The sequence below is a fragment of the Homo sapiens genome, chromosome 7, assembly GCF_000001405.40.
Source record: "Homo sapiens chromosome 7, GRCh38.p14 Primary Assembly".
NCBI lineage: Eukaryota > Metazoa > Chordata > Mammalia > Primates > Hominidae > Homo > Homo sapiens.
The window spans coordinates 23295897-23313847 of record NC_000007.14 but is presented as its reverse complement, the minus strand read 5'-3'; the positions used below and the strand labels follow the sequence as shown (position 1 = coordinate 23313847).

Genomic DNA, 17951 nt, shown 5'->3' with positions numbered 1-17951 from the left:
GTGATGGGCAGTAGTTATTGTCAACCTTTTAGGACTTCTAACTGCTCTCTTCTATGTTATTTTCAACAATCTATGAAATGTAGATGTATCACTGCAAAGGGCTATCCCACTTGGATTTGGGCCATCTTTCAAGTTAACTGACCTTTTCCATTTCATACATGAATGACACTAATAGGATGTGTTTTCATCTGCAGGCTCAGGGAAGAATTTATGGAAAAATTAAAGAAGAAAACTTTGTTAGTCCTAAAGAAGAGGTGAAACTTGAAGCTCATATCAGAGTGCCATCCTTTGCTGCTGGCAGAGTTATTGGAAAAGGAGGCAAAACGGCAAGTACTTCAGCAAAACCTGTGCAGTGGTATGAAAGGGAAAGCGTTGAAAGGTACTTAGGAGTTCCAAGTCCCCGAATTTTGGCTAATTTATAAAAAGCAGGACCATCTTGACCAAGGTTTGGAGAAGATTGCCTTTTGTTTCCTGTCTGAGTGTTGGTGCCAGCTATTAGTGAAAGTAATGCATCTCTTTCAGATCACTTTGTGTGAGAGGATTGTCCTATATTTATAAAGGGCATTTAACGTTCTCCTGATAAAACTTTAGCTTTTTATGGAACAGACACTTAACAGGAATTTTAAAAATTTCATCTACAGCTTGTTACATCTGTAATGGAAAAAAAGCAAACTGTTTCTAGTCTCTAATACATATAACTTGTAAGTGGGTTTCAAAGCTATTTATAATTTTGAAGTGATTGAGTACATACACTTTGGAATCAGACTCAGGATTTGAATCTGGTTTTGCCATTCACTTGTATAACTGGACAAATCAGTTTCTTTGGATGAGCCTTAATCATCTTGAAGTGGGGATAATTCTAATAACCTCATGGAATTACCACTGGATTAAATGAAATTTGTAAAGCCATACATAGCTCACTGTCTGGCGCACAGTAAGTGCTTAGGAAGTAAGGTTTTAAAACTGCCACTTAATGTGATTTATATTTATCTCTTTCAGGTGAATGAACTTCAGAATTTGTCAAGTGCAGAAGTTGTTGTCCCTCGTGACCAGACACCTGATGAGAATGACCAAGTGGTTGTCAAAATAACTGGTCACTTCTATGCTTGCCAGGCAAGTGGGCTCTAAAATAAGCTATTGTATCTTTCTCACGTGGAAGCAATTCTCCCACAGGTGCTCCTACCTGATAGAATTAGTTAAGGTTGTTTGATGCTTAAGACTTTTCATCTCCCTTTTAGCGGGTGATTTCAGAGACTACTAGCAAACTGACTAGTATGTATCTTTAATCATCAAATGGATTTCTATTTGAAATTGTTGAAATGAAGGAGTACAATAACTTTTAGTAGCTTTTGATCAAGTGGAATTTCAAAGCTCTGTCCTTTTCTAGGTTGCCCAGAGAAAAATTCAGGAAATTCTGACTCAGGTAAAGCAGCACCAACAACAGAAGGCTCTGCAAAGTGGACCACCTCAGTCAAGACGGAAGTAAAGGCTCAGGAAACAGCCCACCACAGAGGCAGATGCCAAACCAAAGACAGATTGCTTAACCAACAGATGGGCGCTGACCCCCTATCCAGAATCACATGCACAAGTTTTTACCTAGCCAGTTGTTTCTGAGGACCAGGCAACTTTTGAACTCCTGTCTCTGTGAGAATGTATACTTTATGCTCTCTGAAATGTATGACACCCAGCTTTAAAACAAACAAACAAACAAACAAAAAAAGGGTGGGGGAGGGAGGGAAAGAGAAGAGCTCTGCACTTCCCTTTGTTGTAGTCTCACAGTATAACAGATATTCTAATTCTTCTTAATATTCCCCCATAATGCCAGAAATTGGCTTAATGATGCTTTCACTAAATTCATCAAATAGATTGCTCCTAAATCCAATTGTTAAAATTGGATCAGAATAATTATCACAGGAACTTAAATGTTAAGCCATTAGCATAGAAAAACTGTTCTCAGTTTTATTTTTACCTAACACTAACATGAGTAACCTAAGGGAAGTGCTGAATGGTGTTGGCAGGGGTATTAAACGTGCATTTTTACTCAACTACCTCAGGTATTCAGTAATACAATGAAAAGCAAAATTGTTCCTTTTTTTTGAAAATTTTATATACTTTATAATGATAGAAGTCCAACCGTTTTTTAAAAAATAAATTTAAAATTTAACAGCAATCAGCTAACAGGCAAATTAAGATTTTTACTTCTGGCTGGTGACAGTAAAGCTGGAAAATTAATTTCAGGGTTTTTTGAGGCTTTTGACACAGTTATTAGTTAAATCAAATGTTCAAAAATACGGAGCAGTGCCTAGTATCTGGAGAGCAGCACTACCATTTATTCTTTCATTTATAGTTGGGAAAGTTTTTGACGGTACTAACAAAGTGGTCGCAGGAGATTTTGGAACGGCTGGTTTAAATGGCTTCAGGAGACTTCAGTTTTTTGTTTAGCTACATGATTGAATGCATAATAAATGCTTTGTGCTTCTGACTATCAATACCTAAAGAAAGTGCATCAGTGAAGAGATGCAAGACTTTCAACTGACTGGCAAAAAGCAAGCTTTAGCTTGTCTTATAGGATGCTTAGTTTGCCACTACACTTCAGACCAATGGGACAGTCATAGATGGTGTGACAGTGTTTAAACGCAACAAAAGGCTACATTTCCATGGGGCCAGCACTGTCATGAGCCTCACTAAGCTATTTTGAAGATTTTTAAGCACTGATAAATTAAAAAAAAAAAATTAGACTCCACCTTAAGTAGTAAAGTATAACAGGATTTCTGTATACTGTGCAATCAGTTCTTTGAAAAAAAAGTCAAAAGATAGAGAATACAAGAAAAGTTTTTGGGATATAATTTGAATGACTGTGAAAACATATGACCTTTGATAACGAACTCATTTGCTCACTCCTTGACAGCAAAGCCCAGTACGTACAATTGTGTTGGGTGTGGGTGGTCTCCAAGGCCACGCTGCTCTCTGAATTGATTTTTTGAGTTTTGTTTGTAAGATGATCACAGTCATGTTACACTGATCTAAAGGACATATATATAACCCTTTAAAAAAAAAATCACTGCCTCATTCTTATTTCAAGATGAATTTCTATACAGACTAGATGTTTTTCTGAAGATCAATTAGACATTTTGAAAATGATTTAAAGTGTTTTCCTTAATGTTCTCTGAAAACAAGTTTCTTTTGTAGTTTTAACCAAAAAAGTGCCCTTTTTGTCACTGGATTCTCCTAGCATTCATGATTTTTTTTTCATACAATGAATTAAAATTGCTAAAATCATGGACTGGCTTTCTGGTTGGATTTCAGGTAAGATGTGTTTAAGGCCAGAGCTTTTCTCAGTATTTGATTTTTTTCCCCAATATTTGATTTTTTAAAAATATACACATAGGTGCTGCATTTATATCTGCTGGTTTAAATTCTGTCATATTTCACTTCTAGCCTTTTAGTATGGCAAATCATATTTTACTTTTACTTAAGCATTTGTAATTTGGAGTATCTGGTACTAGCTAAGAAATAATTCTATAATTGAGTTTTGTACTCACCATATATGGATCATTCCTCATGTATAATGTGCCCCAAATGCAGCTTCATTTTCCAGATACCTTGACGCAGAATAAATTTTTTCATCATTTAGGTGCAGCTTGTTGTGTAGTATGTTTTATTTTTGGTTTTCAATTGAATGGGAATGTTCTGAATTTTTTTTCAAACTCTACGCAGATTTCTGTTATACCATGTCCAGCCATGGTACTTAATGTGAACCTTGATAATACTCTTGCATATGAACTAAGAACTAGAGCGTTCAGAGTTTTTCCTAACAAACACTTTGTTTACTTTCTTGTGTTACTGGAGTATTCTGGAAGGGTTACAGAAGTCCTCCTAGAAGAATATTATCACCTCAAAGTATAAAAATAAGACCAGTGGGCTATGTTTTATATTATTTTTTAAAATTTTTGCCATTCCATTAAACAAACAGGGTTAAGATTTACATTTAAGCTAAATTAAATTAATAAAAATCTGAGCAGAGAAGTCAAGCACAGGAGCCAGTGCTAACTCCAGGAAATTCTGATGACATTTCCAGGATAAAGGCAGCGTGTCATAAGTTTTGGGTAGAATGTACTGATTTTTGGTTGCAGGTATAGCTCACTTATCGACAGTCTCTGCATGCCAGTTAGCAGGAGTGCCCATGAGGTACACAAGCCTTGTCCTAAGAGCAGCCTAACCAAGGAGACGGACTTTAGGAGCTGTATTTTCCAATAAGTGACTCAATCCAAATCTGAAATGACTAACGCAGTGCATAAAATATTTTATTCACATTTTAACTCCACTGGAGTCACAGATGAAGTATCATCTTCTATTCCAAGAATGAAGTCTTCAGGTACTGTCTCAGGTGCTATCTGAGCTAACTGGTCATCATAAGAACGTAGGGTCCATAATTTCTCTAATTCATAGATTTCTCTGGTTTCTGGAAGCATCAAATGAATCACCATGCTGCCTGTCAGGGACAGATAAGAGATACAATGAAGGAATAGTTCATTTGCTTTTATTCTTACCTTACAACACACACTGGCTAACTCTAGGAATAAAGCAGTGGTTCTCAAGTGTGGTTCCCAGATTAGCATCACTGTGGACTCCATCCCAGCAAAAATACCACAGAAGTGATGCTATGCCTTTCTCAGTGTACCTACAGGAGGCATATGTCAATATATAACATTGCTGGTGATAGTAACTTTATCAAAGAGACTAATGGTGTCAGGATTCTCTTCGGTGACAATTCTCCATGGGTAACACACTTCTGCACATCTTTTGTGCAAAAACACTGACTGCCTTTTGTTTTGACTATCCAAGAATGTTTGTATCGTGAATATTCTTAACAGAAAGATACTGCCTCCCTCCAGGGCAAAGGGCAGCTTTGCTTACAGCAGCATTTCTCAATTAGGTAATAATGGTAATGTTTAGAGTCATTTTTGATTGTCACAATTGGAGAAGGGAGGATACTGCTAAACATCGTACCGTGCACAAGAGACACCCCTCCCCCACATGCAAAATTACCTGGTCCAAAACGTTAATAGCGACAAAAGTGAGAAACCATCAGAGCAAAAGTAGGCCTGCTTCCTGCCAGTTATAAAAAACCTAGACACCCTCATCTGAGTTCCAGTTTTACAACTGTGTGTGCTGGTGTCATCTGGCCCATGTTGCCCTATGGAATCCAGAGCTCAGGAAACCAGTGCAAAATGGATGCTGGCTACTGCTGTGAGTAATAAACTGTTCTTTGTCTCTAACCCTCTAATAGTCTTGTCTTTTACCAGTGTCCATGAAAACTGGCGGGACAATGTATTAGCTTACAAGCAGAATAAAATCTCAGACTCCTCAGTTCTTGACATACAGTTATGTTTCCCCTTTGTAAATATTATCTTGTTGGGAGGTGCTTTGAAACTATGTACACATTAATACCCAAAGTTGTTAGATCTTTTCAAAATTCTAGTCTTCTGCTCTTGTCCTTTTTTGTGCCTGGAATAACCTCATCCTCATCTCATTTATGCACCACAGCCCCCAAACCTTCCTCTACCACTACTAAGGAATCTCTCCCGCCTCTACTATGTTATCCTGTTGTCCACCACCTTCCTGATCTGTGTGGCTAGTAGATACACACCATGTAGTATATATCTTCCTCCAGGAGGGCATCATCTAGGGTACTTTGGTTTGGTTAGGTGAAAATTCTACATGTGAATAAGACCACCTGGATTATAACTAAAAAAACTTTTGTTACCTTAAACACACTTCAAAAATCTTACCTGGAAATACATTCATCAATTTGATCTCAATCCTTTTGCAACTGAAAACAATTCAAGATTAGCGTAGTACCAACAGTTACCTGTAAAATACGCCAGAATAACTTACCAAAATCCACGCACAGCCAGTCATCAGTGTCCTTCCCTTCTATCTTAACATGAGGGTCACGTTTACATTTCAGGTGTTTGTACTGCAAAAAGCCAGGTGGTTTATTAAAGGGAGAGGGGATGGGGGAAGCCTGTTCTTGCTGAAGGTCTTTTTTTTTTGTTTGTTTGTTTGTTTTTTTTAATCTTTCTTACTCATTTCTCATTGCTATACTTTGCCCTGTGATGAATAACTTAGGGAAACTATTTCTCCCTCTAAATCTTATTCACTTTCACCTCTCTCCTGAATTCTCCTGCCCCAGCCCTTCTGAGAGGGTCACCCCATTCATTCACCAAGGTGCCTCTGAGGCTGAAAAAGCTAAGCTCAGTCAGCATTTGGTACCCACCTACATCCATCACTTGTGTTCATCCCAGCTTTCCTTCACCTTTAGGGGCTGCAGATACTACCTTCTGTTTATAAAGCCAGGTTGTTTCAGTGCCACTGATTTCATCTCATCTGCCTTTATGACATGTTAATGGGACCCCGTCATCCTATAAATGTGCTCAGTTCTTTTGTTAAAACAGATATACTAATATCAAACAAGATGGCAATTAAGTAAAAACTGTTACAAGAGACAAAGGACATCTCATATACATCACCCCAAAATCAAAGGAAATGATAATTAGGGCAGGAAAAAGACAAAATCAATGAAACTAGGATTTGGTTCTTAGAATGACTAAGAAAAAAGACAACTAAAATCTGAAATGAAAGAAGTGACACTACTGATTTTAGAGAAATGGGATTGTAAGAGTATTATGAGCAACTGTACACCAAACAACTGGGTAACCTAGACGAAATAGCAAAATTTCTAGAAACACAATCTACTGACTGAATCATGCAGAAATATAAAGTTTCAATAGACCATAACTAGTATGGGGACTGGATCAGTAATCAAAAATCTCCCAACAAAAGTCCTAGACCAGATGGCTTCCCTGATGAGTTTTACCAAATATTTAAACAAGAATGCAATACTCAAATTCTCCCCAAAAAATTGAAGAACAGGGAACACTTCCTAACTCATTCCATAAGACCAATAACCCTGATGAACATTTGATGCAAAAATCCTCAACAAAAATACTAGCAAACCAAACTCAGCACCATATTAAAAGGATTATAGACCATGACCAAGTGGGATTTATCCCTGGAATGCAAGGTGGTTCAACATATAAAAACGGATCAATGCAATAACACCACATTAACAGAATGAAGAAAAAATCTATATGATAATCTGAACTGACGCAGAAAAAGCATTTAACAAAATTCAATACCCTTTCACAATAAAGCACTCAACAAAGTGGGCATAAAAGGAAATTACCTCAACATAATAAGGGCCATGTGAGAAAAGCACACAGCTAATATATTCAATGGTGAGACTGAAAGCTTTCCTGTAAGATCAGGAACAAGACTATGCCTGCTTTTGCTACTTCTATTCAACACAGTATTGGAAGTTCTAGTCAGAGCAATTCGTCAATAAAAAAAAAAAAGGTACCCAAATTGGAAAGGAGGAAGTAAAATTATCTCTGAAGACAATACAACTTCATATGTAGAAAACCCCAAAGATTCCACAAAAAAAACCCAGTTAGGGCTACTAAACAAATTCAGCACACAAAAATCCATCGTATTTCTATACACTAACAATGAGCAACCTGGAAACAAAGTTTTTAGAATTCCATTTACAATAGCAGAATAATACTTTTTTTTTTTTAATTGAGACGTTCTTGTTTTGAGTTTCGCTCTTGTTGCCCAGGCTGGACTATAATGGCGCAATCGCGGCTCACAGCAACCTCCACCTCCCAAGTTCAAGCGATTCTCCTGCCTCAGCCTCCCAAGTAGCCGGGATTACAGGCATGCGCCACCACGCCCGGCTAATTTTGTATTTTCAGTAGAGACGGGGTTTCTCCATGTTGGTGCGGCTGGTCTTGAACTCCCGATCTCAGGTGATCTGCCTGCCTCGGCCTCCCAAAGTGCTAGGATTACAGACATCAGCCACCGTGAGCAGCCTAGCAGAATAATCTTAACCACAGGAGCAAAAGACTTGTACAATGAAGACTACAAAACACTGCTGAAAGAACTTACAGATGCCAGTAAATGGAAAGATACTTCATATTCATGGATGGGAAGACAATATTGTAAAGATGCCAATACTACCCAATGCAGTCTACAGATTCAGTGCAATCTATATCAAGATCACAATATTTTTTGAAGAAACAGAAAAATCCAACCTAAACTTTATGTGGGGCCAGACACGGTGGCTCACACCTGTAATCCCAGCCCTTTGGGAGGCCAAGGCGGGTGCATCACCTGAGGTTAGGAGTTTAAGACCAGCCTAGCCAAAATGGTGAAACCTCATCTCTACTAAAAATACAAAAAATTAGCTGGGCATGGTGGCGGGCACCTGTAACCTCAGCTACTTGGGAGGCTGAGGCAGGAGAATTGCTTGAATCTGTGAGCCGAGATTGTGCCACTGTACTACAGCCTGGGCAACAAAAGCGAAACTCCATCTCAAAAAAAAAAAAAAAATTATATGGACTCTCAAGGAACCCCAAATAGCCAAAACAATCTTGTAAAAGAACAAAGTTGGAGTCTCATATTTCTTGATTTCAAAACTTAGAACAAAGCTATGGTAAACAAAACAGTCTGAAACTGGCAAAAAGACAGACGCACAGACTGATGAAACAGAATACAGAGCCCAGAAATAAACCCTTGTGCCTATGGTCAAATGATTTTCAACAATGGAGCCAAGACCATTCAATGCACAAAGGACAGTCCTTCCAACAAACGTTGCTGAGGAAATGTCCACATGGAAAACTAACCGCCTACAAAAACTAACTCAAAATGGGTTAAATATCTAAACAGGAGACTTAAAACTATAAAACTCTTAGAAGAAAATAGGGAAAACATGATACTGGTTTGGCAATTATTTATTAGATATAATACCAAAGACACAGGCAACAGAAGAAAAAATAAACTGAACTTCACCAAAATTAAATACTTTCGTGCATCAAAGGACACTCTAAAGAGTAAAAAGGCAACCCACAGAATGGCAGAAAACATCTGCAAATCACATATTTGATAAGGGATTAATATCCAGAATATATAGAGAGCTCCTACAACTCAACAACAAAACAACAAACAACCTGATTTTAAAATGGGCAAAGAGTCTGGGCAATATAGTGAGACCCTGTCTCTATAAAAAATAAATTAGCTGGGCACTGTGGAGTAACTCCTACCATTCTACTTTCTGTCTCTATGAATTTGACTACTCCTACTCCTCTAGTCCTAGCAACTTGGGAGGCTGAGGTGAGAGGATCACTCGAGCCCAGAAGTTCCAGGCTGCAGTGAGCTATGACCACACCACTGCACTGAAGCCTGGGCAACAAAGTGAGACACTGTCTCTTTAAAACAAACAAAAAAGCAAAGGACTTTTCTTCAAAGAATATATACAAATGGCCAATAAGCAAAAGAAAATATGCTCAACATCACTAATCCTTAGGGAAATACAAATAAAAACCACAATGAGATATCACGTCATGCCCATTAGGATGGCTATTACCAAAATGAGAAAATAAGTTGTTGATGAGGATGTGAAGACTGGAAACTCTGCACTGCTAGAGAAATGTAAAGTGGTGTAGCCACTATGAAAGAATACAGGAGCTCCTCAAAAAATTAAAAACATTCAGCTTTGTGCTAGGCTGGTGAACAGAAAAAAAATTAAAAACAGAATCACTATATGATCCAGCAATCCCATTTCTTTGCACATACCCCAAAGCATTAAAAGCAAGGACATAAACAATTTTTTTTTTTTTTGAGACTGAGTTTCGCTCTTGTTGCCCAGGCTGGAGAGCAGTGGCACAATCTCGGCTCACTGCAACCTCCACCTCCCAGGTTCAAGCGATTCTCGTGCCTCAGCCTCCCAAGTAGCTGGGATTACAGGAACCCTCCACCACACCCAGCTAATTATTGTATTTTTAATAGAGACAGGGTTTCACCATTTTGGCCAGGCTGGTCTTGAACTCCTAACCTCAGGTGAACTACCCGCCTTGGCCTCCCAAAGTGCTGGGATTACAAGTGTGAACCCAGCCTTTTTTTTTTTTTTTTTTCTTTTGAGACAGCGTCTTGCTCTGTCACCCAGGGTGGAGTGCAGTAGTACAATCTTGGCTCACTGCAGCCTCAAGCTCCTGGGCTCAAGCAATCCTCCACCTCAGCATTCCAAGTAGCTGGGACTACAGGCACACACCACCAAGCCCAGCCAATTTTTTATTTTATTTTTTGTCTTTTTTGTAGAGATGGAGTTTCACCATGTTGCCCAGGCTGGTTTCAAACTTCTGAGCTCAAGCAATCCGCCCACCTTGGCCTCTCAAAATGCTGGGATTACAGGCATGAGCCACTGCGCCCAGCCTCATGAACAGTATTTCTATACTCATATTTATACCAGCATTATTCACAATAGCCAAAAGGTGGAAGCAATCTAAGTGTCCATCAATGAATAAGGGGATAAACAAAATGTGGTATATACGTAAGATAGAGTATTATTCAGCCTTAAGAAAGAAGGAAATTCTGGCACATGCTACTACATGGATGAACCTTGAAGACATTATGCTAAGTCAGATAAGTCGGTCACAAATCTATGATTCTACTTTTATGAGATACTGAAAAGTAGTCAAATTCATAGAGACAGGCAGTAGAATGGTAGCTGCCTACGGAAGGAGAAATGGGGAGTTATTGTTTAATGAGTTCAGAGTTTCGTTTTTGCAAAATGAAAAAATTTCTGGAGACGGATGGTGGTAATGATTGTAAGTCAATGTGAAGGTACTTAAAGCTACTGAACAACACAGTTTAAAATTGTTAAATGGGCTGGGCACAGTGGCTCATGCCTGTAATCCCAGCACTTTGGGAGGCCGAGGTGGTCAGGAGTTTGAGACCAGCCTGACCAACATGGTGAAACCCCATCTCTACTAAAAATAGAAAAATCAGCCAAGCGTGGTGGTGGGTGCCTATAATCCCACCTACTCAGGAGGCTTAGGCCGGAGAATCACTTGAACTCGGGAGGCGGAGACTGCAGTGAGCTGAGATCGAGCCACTGCACTCCAGCCTGGGCGACAGAGCGAGACTCTTGTCTCCAAAAAAAAGATTAAACGGTAGGTTTTACGTTATATATATTTTACCACAAACAACAAAACTTTCTTGCCTTTGCATTTCTCTCATCTAAAATCTTTGTAAAGGCAATTTCTATTTCTTTATTCTTTCACAGAAACTTCTCTGTAAAACCTCCCATTCTTTTTACATCCGCAAGTCCAATGGTCACTAAGTCTTCTGACTCCATCCCACTATTACATCTGATAGAGACCCTGGTATGCTGTCTTTGTATATCTCTTCTTTATGCTTTCCTAGTTCTCTCCCTATCTCTCCAATTACCCTGTTTTTGGCATCTTCTTCTGCTCTGTCATGTACCAGGGTTTTGTGTATAGGCCCCACCTTTTTATTTTACAACCTTTCTCTATACAATTTTGGCTACTCTTTTGGTCTTAACTGCCTCCTCTATGACCAATTCTCAACAGACTAAGACTAAGAAAGGTATCATGGCCCCGTGGAATGGTACCAGAGTCAGCTAGAGGCTTCCAAGTACTTTCTTCCTCATTCTGATTCATATTCAGTGCAACTGGAAAACAATCCCCCTTTCTTTCCTCAACTAGACCTGTAAGGGCAAGGACTACATCTTTTTTGTTCTTACCTTCCCAATACCCCGTACAGTGCTTGGGAACACTGGACATGCTCAAATCTTTGAATGAAACTCCAGGCCAGCACTGTCCAATAGAACGTTTTACAATGATGAAAATGCTTTATGGCTGTCCCATATGGTAGCCATTAGCCACACGTGGCTATTGAGCATTTGAAATATAGCTAATATAACTGCAGAACTGAATTTATATCTTTTTTTTTTTTTTTGAGACAGAGTCTGGCTCTGTCACCAGGCTGGAGTGCAGTGGCACAATCTCAGCTCACTGCAACCTCCGCCTCCCAGGTTCAAGCCATTCTCCTGCCTCAGCCTCCCGAGTAGCTGGAATTACAGGCACACGCCACCATGCCCAGCTAATTTTTGTATTTTTAGTAAAGACGGCATTTCACCATGTTGGCCAGGATGGTCTTGATCTTTTGACCTTGTGATCCACCCACCTTGGCCTTCCAAAGTGCTGGGATTACAGGCTTGAGCCACCACGCCCGGCTGAATTTATATTTTAATTTATAATTAAATAGGCACATGTAGCTAGTGGCTACCGTAATGGATAGTGCCTCTAGAAATCCCTCTGGTTATACTGTCTTCTAGCTTGCCTCAGGTTATAAAATATTATTTTCCGGCCGGGTGAGGTGGCTCATGCCAGTAATCCTAGCACTTTAGGAGGCTGAGGCAGGCGGATCCCCTGAGGTCAGGAGTTTGAGACCAGCCTGACCAACATGGAGAAACCCGTCTCTACTAAAAATACAAAATTATCTGGGCCTGGTGGCGCATGCCTGTAATCCCAGCTACTCAGGAGGATGAGGCAGGAGAATCACTTAAACCCGGGAGGCGGAGGTTGCGGTGAGCAGAGATCGCGCCATTGCACTCCAGCCTGGGCAACAAGAGCAAAACTCCATCTCAATTAGAAAAAAAAAAAAAATCTTCCTTGCGGTCACAAGAGAAAAGATTTTGATATATCCTAACTCAATAGGGCTGGATATTTGCTCCCATATGTTTCACTATCAAAGAACATAAAATGAATTCATGCAAATTCTGAAAATTTGGGCTTCTTCTGTAACTTTGTATGATGGGTTTACCCTCTAAGTGTTGCTCCTTGGCCTGATGCACTGTCACTATTCCACTCAGTTAATGGTCCAAAAGAGAAAAGAAAGCATCCTACCATTTTCACAACGTAGAAGGCCATGGCATGTAAGTGTCGGGTAGAAGTTCCACTAACAATCACAAAGTAATCTGTATATCTCATTTCTGGAGGAACCTGGATCACACAAATGTCTCTTGCATTTTCTTGCCTCAGAAGTGAAACCATCATATCGATGTCAAACTTGGGACCAGTATGATCTGAAATGCACAAATAGTTGTTTGTATCAGGATGGCCAAGCAGATAGACGTGTATGCACCCAGAGATGCCGGCAGCTGACTGTTCCTCCATGAGGGTGTTTAGATCCAAAGTGTTTTTACAGATAGCAGGGTAAAGGCCTCCTGGAAGGTGAACCTGGGCAGTAGTATCATAGCACCGCTCAACTTTTATGGTCAGGGTGCTCAGATTACGCAGAGCCACTATACATCCTTCGCTATTAACCATATGCAAGTAGAACCAGACACCAGTGACAAATGACTTTCTACTAATACTTAAAAGGAGCAATACACCACAATCACAGAAATGCTGTGCAAAGAAAAACAGCACCACAAAATGGGTAGGAGGTGATATCCTGGAGCATATTAAATTGAATCTCAGTCATAACGGGTCACAGAATTGTGAGCTGGAAGGGCTCTTAGGCAGTATCTGGTCCACAACCTTCAGTTGAGAGATGAAGAAACTGAGGCCTAGGAGAATTACTGTGGCCTAAGATCAGTCACTGAAAGAGCTACATTTTTGAGTAATTATTATTTTGAACCTTCCAGTTTTCATATAAAACCACCGGGTTATTAACAACTGTTACCTATGAAAATCTAATTTTTTTTCCCGTAAAGATTTAGATATTCTGATCTTCAGCTTGGAGTATTACAGGCTGTAAATTTAAAAGCTCGCCCAAGTTCTAAAGCCGACTCCAAAGGACCTAGTAGCTAAGCCCACTAAGGCCTCTCCCTCTCATACTCTACATTCTTAGATGTGATCTGTTTACCATTCTTAAGTTTCTAAAAACGTCAGCAATAACTAGAGGATATTAACTTGGACCCATCTCCTACTGGCGCTTCCTACGCACCCCTTCGCACCCAGACCCTGGCTCCTCAGAATCCTCAAGCCCCAACAGTCCCCACAAACCCATTTCCCAGGATCCTAGGAAGAGGGTAAAAGGAAGTGAGGACGGTGAGACTGTGATGCCAAGGGTGGGAGATGGCCGTCCGGGAGGCTGGGATTCTGCAGTTCATCTCTTGCCCTCAATTTCTTCACTGTGAAACGGGAAGGTTGGCGCCAACAACCTTTGAAGTCCCTTCCAGCTCTGGATGTGCAGGAGTTTTGTGACTCCAAGAGAAATGCACATAGAGGGGAACCCAGAGCCACCTTGGCTGGGACCTGACTCCAGACTGCCCGGAGAGGGTCGCCTTCGTTCTTCTCCACGCCCGTACCTGCCGCGTCCGATTCTGGGCGTCCCTCGTTGACCGTCCCCTCCGCCCGCTCCTCCAGCCCAGGCTCGCTGTGCAGGCCGCGGACAAAGTTTGGGGTCTGGCAAGCCCGGCAGAACGCTGCTCCTACGGGAAGCCGCTGCACGGCCAGCAGCCGAAGCCCGGGCTCGGCTCCAACCGCGGACCCCGCCACCGAGGAAACCGCCCTGCGCCACATTAGTGGGGCGAGCAGCCGCGCCACACGGCCGCCCGGCCCCATAGCAGCAGCCTTGCGTCGGCGTCGCGGGTGGGTGGTACTTCATGGAGCCCGGCCGGGAAATTCTACGTCGATGCGTGGGCGGAGTCAAGGCCTGAAGGACGGACCATGGGCGGAGTCTGGAGCCCGTGAAGACTGCAGTGACCCGGAAGAGCTACTTGGGGATTAGGGCGTGCGGGAATAAAGAACTAGTGTTGCTTGCCCACCTTGCTTTGCTTTGTGTCGCAGTAGCGCATTACGTTGTCACTTTTTTTTTGGACTCTGTCCACTAATGTGAGGCTCATGAAGGCAATAATTTTTGTTTCATTTTTAACTCTTCTCTCCACAGCACCTAAAACAGTTCCTGGTACTGAATGTCCAGAAGTTGCTGTTAATCTGATTAGGCTGGGATTAGGACATATAATCTACCCTCTCTCATTACCAGAAAATATTCAAGATTCCCTTGCAAATTTGAAATTGCGCGAGGAAAATCTGTTATCCTGGGCTAGAGTGGGGTGGGAGGCAGAGGTGTAAAGGACCATTTGGAAACCGTTCTTAGGTCAGCCCATCATCTACACTCCCTGTATGGAGGAGTTTACGCCCAGGGGCGGTACTGTGGGGACCAGCTCTGTAAGAATAAGGAATTCTGAGGTGCCAGCTGCGGTATTAAGTCACAGGACTTGAGAACTGCGATAGATTCCTGGCACGGGTGGGGGGGTGGGGGGTTTTGGGGGCGTGGGACGCCGCAGGGAAGCAACTTGCCCAGGTCATACACTTACTGACTGCGTCAGAATCAGAAGCCAGTTTCTGGCTTCTGAACTCCAGGCCTGCTAACTGCTGAAAGGAAGGCTTCATAGAGAGCAAATATTTCAAATGCCTGAAACAGTGCCAGACACATAGCAGGCACTCCAAAAATGTTTGCTACATTATTTTAAATAATTCCAAGCACTAATTTTGGGAAGTTTTTTAAAAATAGAGAAATTAAGCATTTGTGTATATCACACCAGATATGTACAACCACTTCAAGTTATTTTTGAAAAGAAGAAAAACATTACAGATTAAGTTTCCTCTGTCCAATTTTAGCCCCATCCTCAATTCCATTTTTCCACAGGCATGAACTTGGCTTTTCTCCCAGCTTCTGGCATCCATTCCGTGTTCCCACCCTTCTCTGAACATCCCAGACCTGCTTTACCACCTGTATTTGCCAGCTCATTTAATGGGTCATTATCCCTTCAAAACTCCCAAACCCTAGACTTCATTCAGTCCAGGATCTTCATACAACAAACGAATCTGTTGTCAAAATCCTGCTTATGTGACCTCCAAAATGTTTCTGTGAGTTCAGCTTCTTGTCTTCATTTCCACTGTTTCTTCCTTAGTCCACACCCTCATTAGTTCTTGCCTAATTACAGAGACTGCCTCCTACCTGGCTTTCCTGTCTCCAGTCTGTTTCTACTCTTTTCATCCTCCATGCTGCCCTTCTATCAACTACAATCATTTTCGCTTTATCTGCTTTTTGCTGTTTTTCAAACTCACCATACCCTTTTTTATTTTTATTTTTTAAAGAGATGGGGTCTTACTCTTGTCACCCAGACTGGAGTACAGTCACACAATCATAGCTAACTACATCCTCAAACTCCTGGGCTCAAGCGGTGCTCCTGCCTTAGCCTCCCAATTAGCTAGGACTACAGGCATGTGGAACCATGGCCAGCTAATTTTTGTTTTTAATTTTTTTAAAGACAGGATCTCACTATGTTGCCCAGGCTGGTTTCAAACTCCTGGCCTTAAGCAATCTACCCCACTGTAGCTGTGAGTATAGGCATAAGCCACCATGCCTGGCAACCTCACCATATCCTTTCAATGCCAAGCTTTGCATATACTTTTTTTTTGAGATGGAGTCTCGCTCTGTCACCCAGACTGGAGTGCAGTGGCACCATCTCGGTTCACCACAACCTTTGCCTCCAGGGTTCAAGCAATTCTCCTGCCTCGGCCTCCCAAATAGCTGGGATTACAGGCACGTGCCACCACCCCCAGCTAATTTTTGTATTTTTAGTAGAGACGGGGTTTCACCATGTTGGCCAGGCTGGTCTCAAACTCCTGACCTCAAGTGATCCACCCGCCTCAGCCTCCCAAAGTGTTGGGATTACGGGTGTGAGCCACCGTGCTTGGCCACTACTCTTTTTAGAGCACCCTTTTCCCATTTTTTCATATGACAAACTCAGACTCACTCTGTAAGACATACCTTAAGCATTAAGATATCTCCCCCTACTCTCTCAGATGGCCCCTCAGAAACCCCTCATCCCTTTGTTCATAAATGTCTTTAACATTTATGTTTGACTGCATGATACCCCACTAGAAAAGACTTAGATTTAATTCCACCTCTTCTGTTTATTAGCAGTGTACTATTGAAGTTCTTAATCTGAGCCTCAGTTTCCTCATCTGTAAAATGAGGGAATGATACCTTCTTCACAGAGTCTCGAAAAATTGGATAAAATATGCAGCACAAATTATATACCATAGTGCTTGGCATGTAGTAATCATATGGAAATTAGTATCTGTCTACAAATTGACCTCATGGAGAGGAAATGGCTTGAACCCAGTCATTATGATAAAGCCCATCAGAAAAAGACAACCAGGAACACGTGTGGTCAAAGTTTTTTTTTTTCCTGAGACGGAGTCTCGCTCTGTCACGCAGGCTGGAGTGCAGTGGTGCAATCTCAGCTCACTGCAACCTCCGCCTCCCGGGTTCAAGCAATTCTTCTGTCTCAGCCTCCTGAGTAGCTAAGATTATAGGCGTGCACCACCACGCCTGGCTAATTTTTTTGTATGTTTAATAGAGACGGGGTTTCGCCACGTTGGCCAGGCTAGGCTCGAACTCCTGACCTTGTGATCCTCCCATCTTGGCCTCCCAAAGTGCTGGGATTACAGGTGTGAGCCACCGCACCTGGCCCAAAGTTAGTTTTATTAACTCGCTGTAGCAAGGGAGACTGCATGCTATGGAGGACAGAGGAGCAGCTCAGGAAGAGGGACTAGAAGGGGCTTTGTTTAGGGCTCGTGCTTATGCTCAGTGAGTCTAAGGAGAGATCAGAGGAAGTGGTGTCAGCTGTGGACTGGGTGCTGTCCTGAAGCAAGGGAAGTTTAGGAATTTTTCTCAGTAATCTTTGTTCAGGAGACAGGAGAATGTTCACAGGGGCTGGAGATGTTATTGGTCAGTCACTCACAAGAGTCGTGTGGTCTGGGGAGAATCATGTCCTATTAAAAACATTATTTTAGGCTTCACTAGGAACATCACATTCTGATTAGCAGCAGGGCTGAGAAACAGACTCAGGGTCCTTGTTCCTTAGAACTATAAAAGTTAAGATAAATGTGGAGTGCTGGCCCTTGGGGAGGATTGATGCTGAAGCTGTGTCTTTGTGTGGAATGATGTGAAATGACCCCCATGCGGAGTCTTCAGGCAAGACCGGGATGTTCCATTCTCACTGA

The 17951-nt window shown here is 41.6% G+C and overlaps 2 protein-coding genes across 8 annotated transcripts in view, besides 2 other annotated features; one reads left to right on the top strand and one right to left on the bottom strand.

The window, feature by feature from the left end:
• Nucleotides 1-3639, top strand: part of IGF2BP3 (insulin like growth factor 2 mRNA binding protein 3) — a 160283-nt gene extending 156644 nt beyond the window's left edge. For 6 of the 7 annotated variants that reach the window (NM_006547.3, XM_011515089.3, XM_047419782.1 and 3 more), the window contains 3 exons: nt 195-326; nt 1000-1113; nt 1388-3639. In NM_006547.3, coding sequence (NP_006538.2) covers nt 195-326; nt 1000-1113; nt 1388-1486 — 345 coding nt within the window. In that variant the 3' untranslated portion in view covers nt 1487-3639. Of the gene's footprint in view, nt 1-194; nt 380-999; nt 1114-1387 lie in introns of those variants that run through there. The other variant, XM_047419784.1, reaches the window with a different exon arrangement.
• MALSU1 (mitochondrial assembly of ribosomal large subunit 1) lies at nt 2119-14509 on the bottom strand. Its single transcript, NM_138446.2, has 4 exons — nt 14240-14509; nt 12831-13009; nt 5899-5980; nt 2119-4492 (listed from the first exon to the last, which is right to left on the bottom strand). Exons 1-4 carry the CDS (start codon nt 14493-14495, stop codon nt 4305-4307), a joined length of 705 nt encoding a protein of 234 aa, NP_612455.1. The 5' UTR covers nt 14496-14509; the 3' UTR covers nt 2119-4304.
• Nucleotides 5271-5471: a silencer, noted in NCBI's record as "peak6435 fragment used in MPRA reporter construct". NCBI's record gives its function as "represses an SCP1 promoter by STARR-seq MPRAs in K562 erythroleukemia cells {active_cell/tissue: K562}" and the evidence as "EXISTENCE:reporter gene assay evidence [ECO:0000049][PMID:32103011]".
• Nucleotides 14203-14692: an enhancer, noted in NCBI's record as "active region_25724". NCBI's record gives its function as "activates an Ori minimal core promoter by ATAC-STARR-seq in GM12878 lymphoblastoid cells {active_cell/tissue: GM12878}" and the evidence as "EXISTENCE:reporter gene assay evidence [ECO:0000049][PMID:35858748]".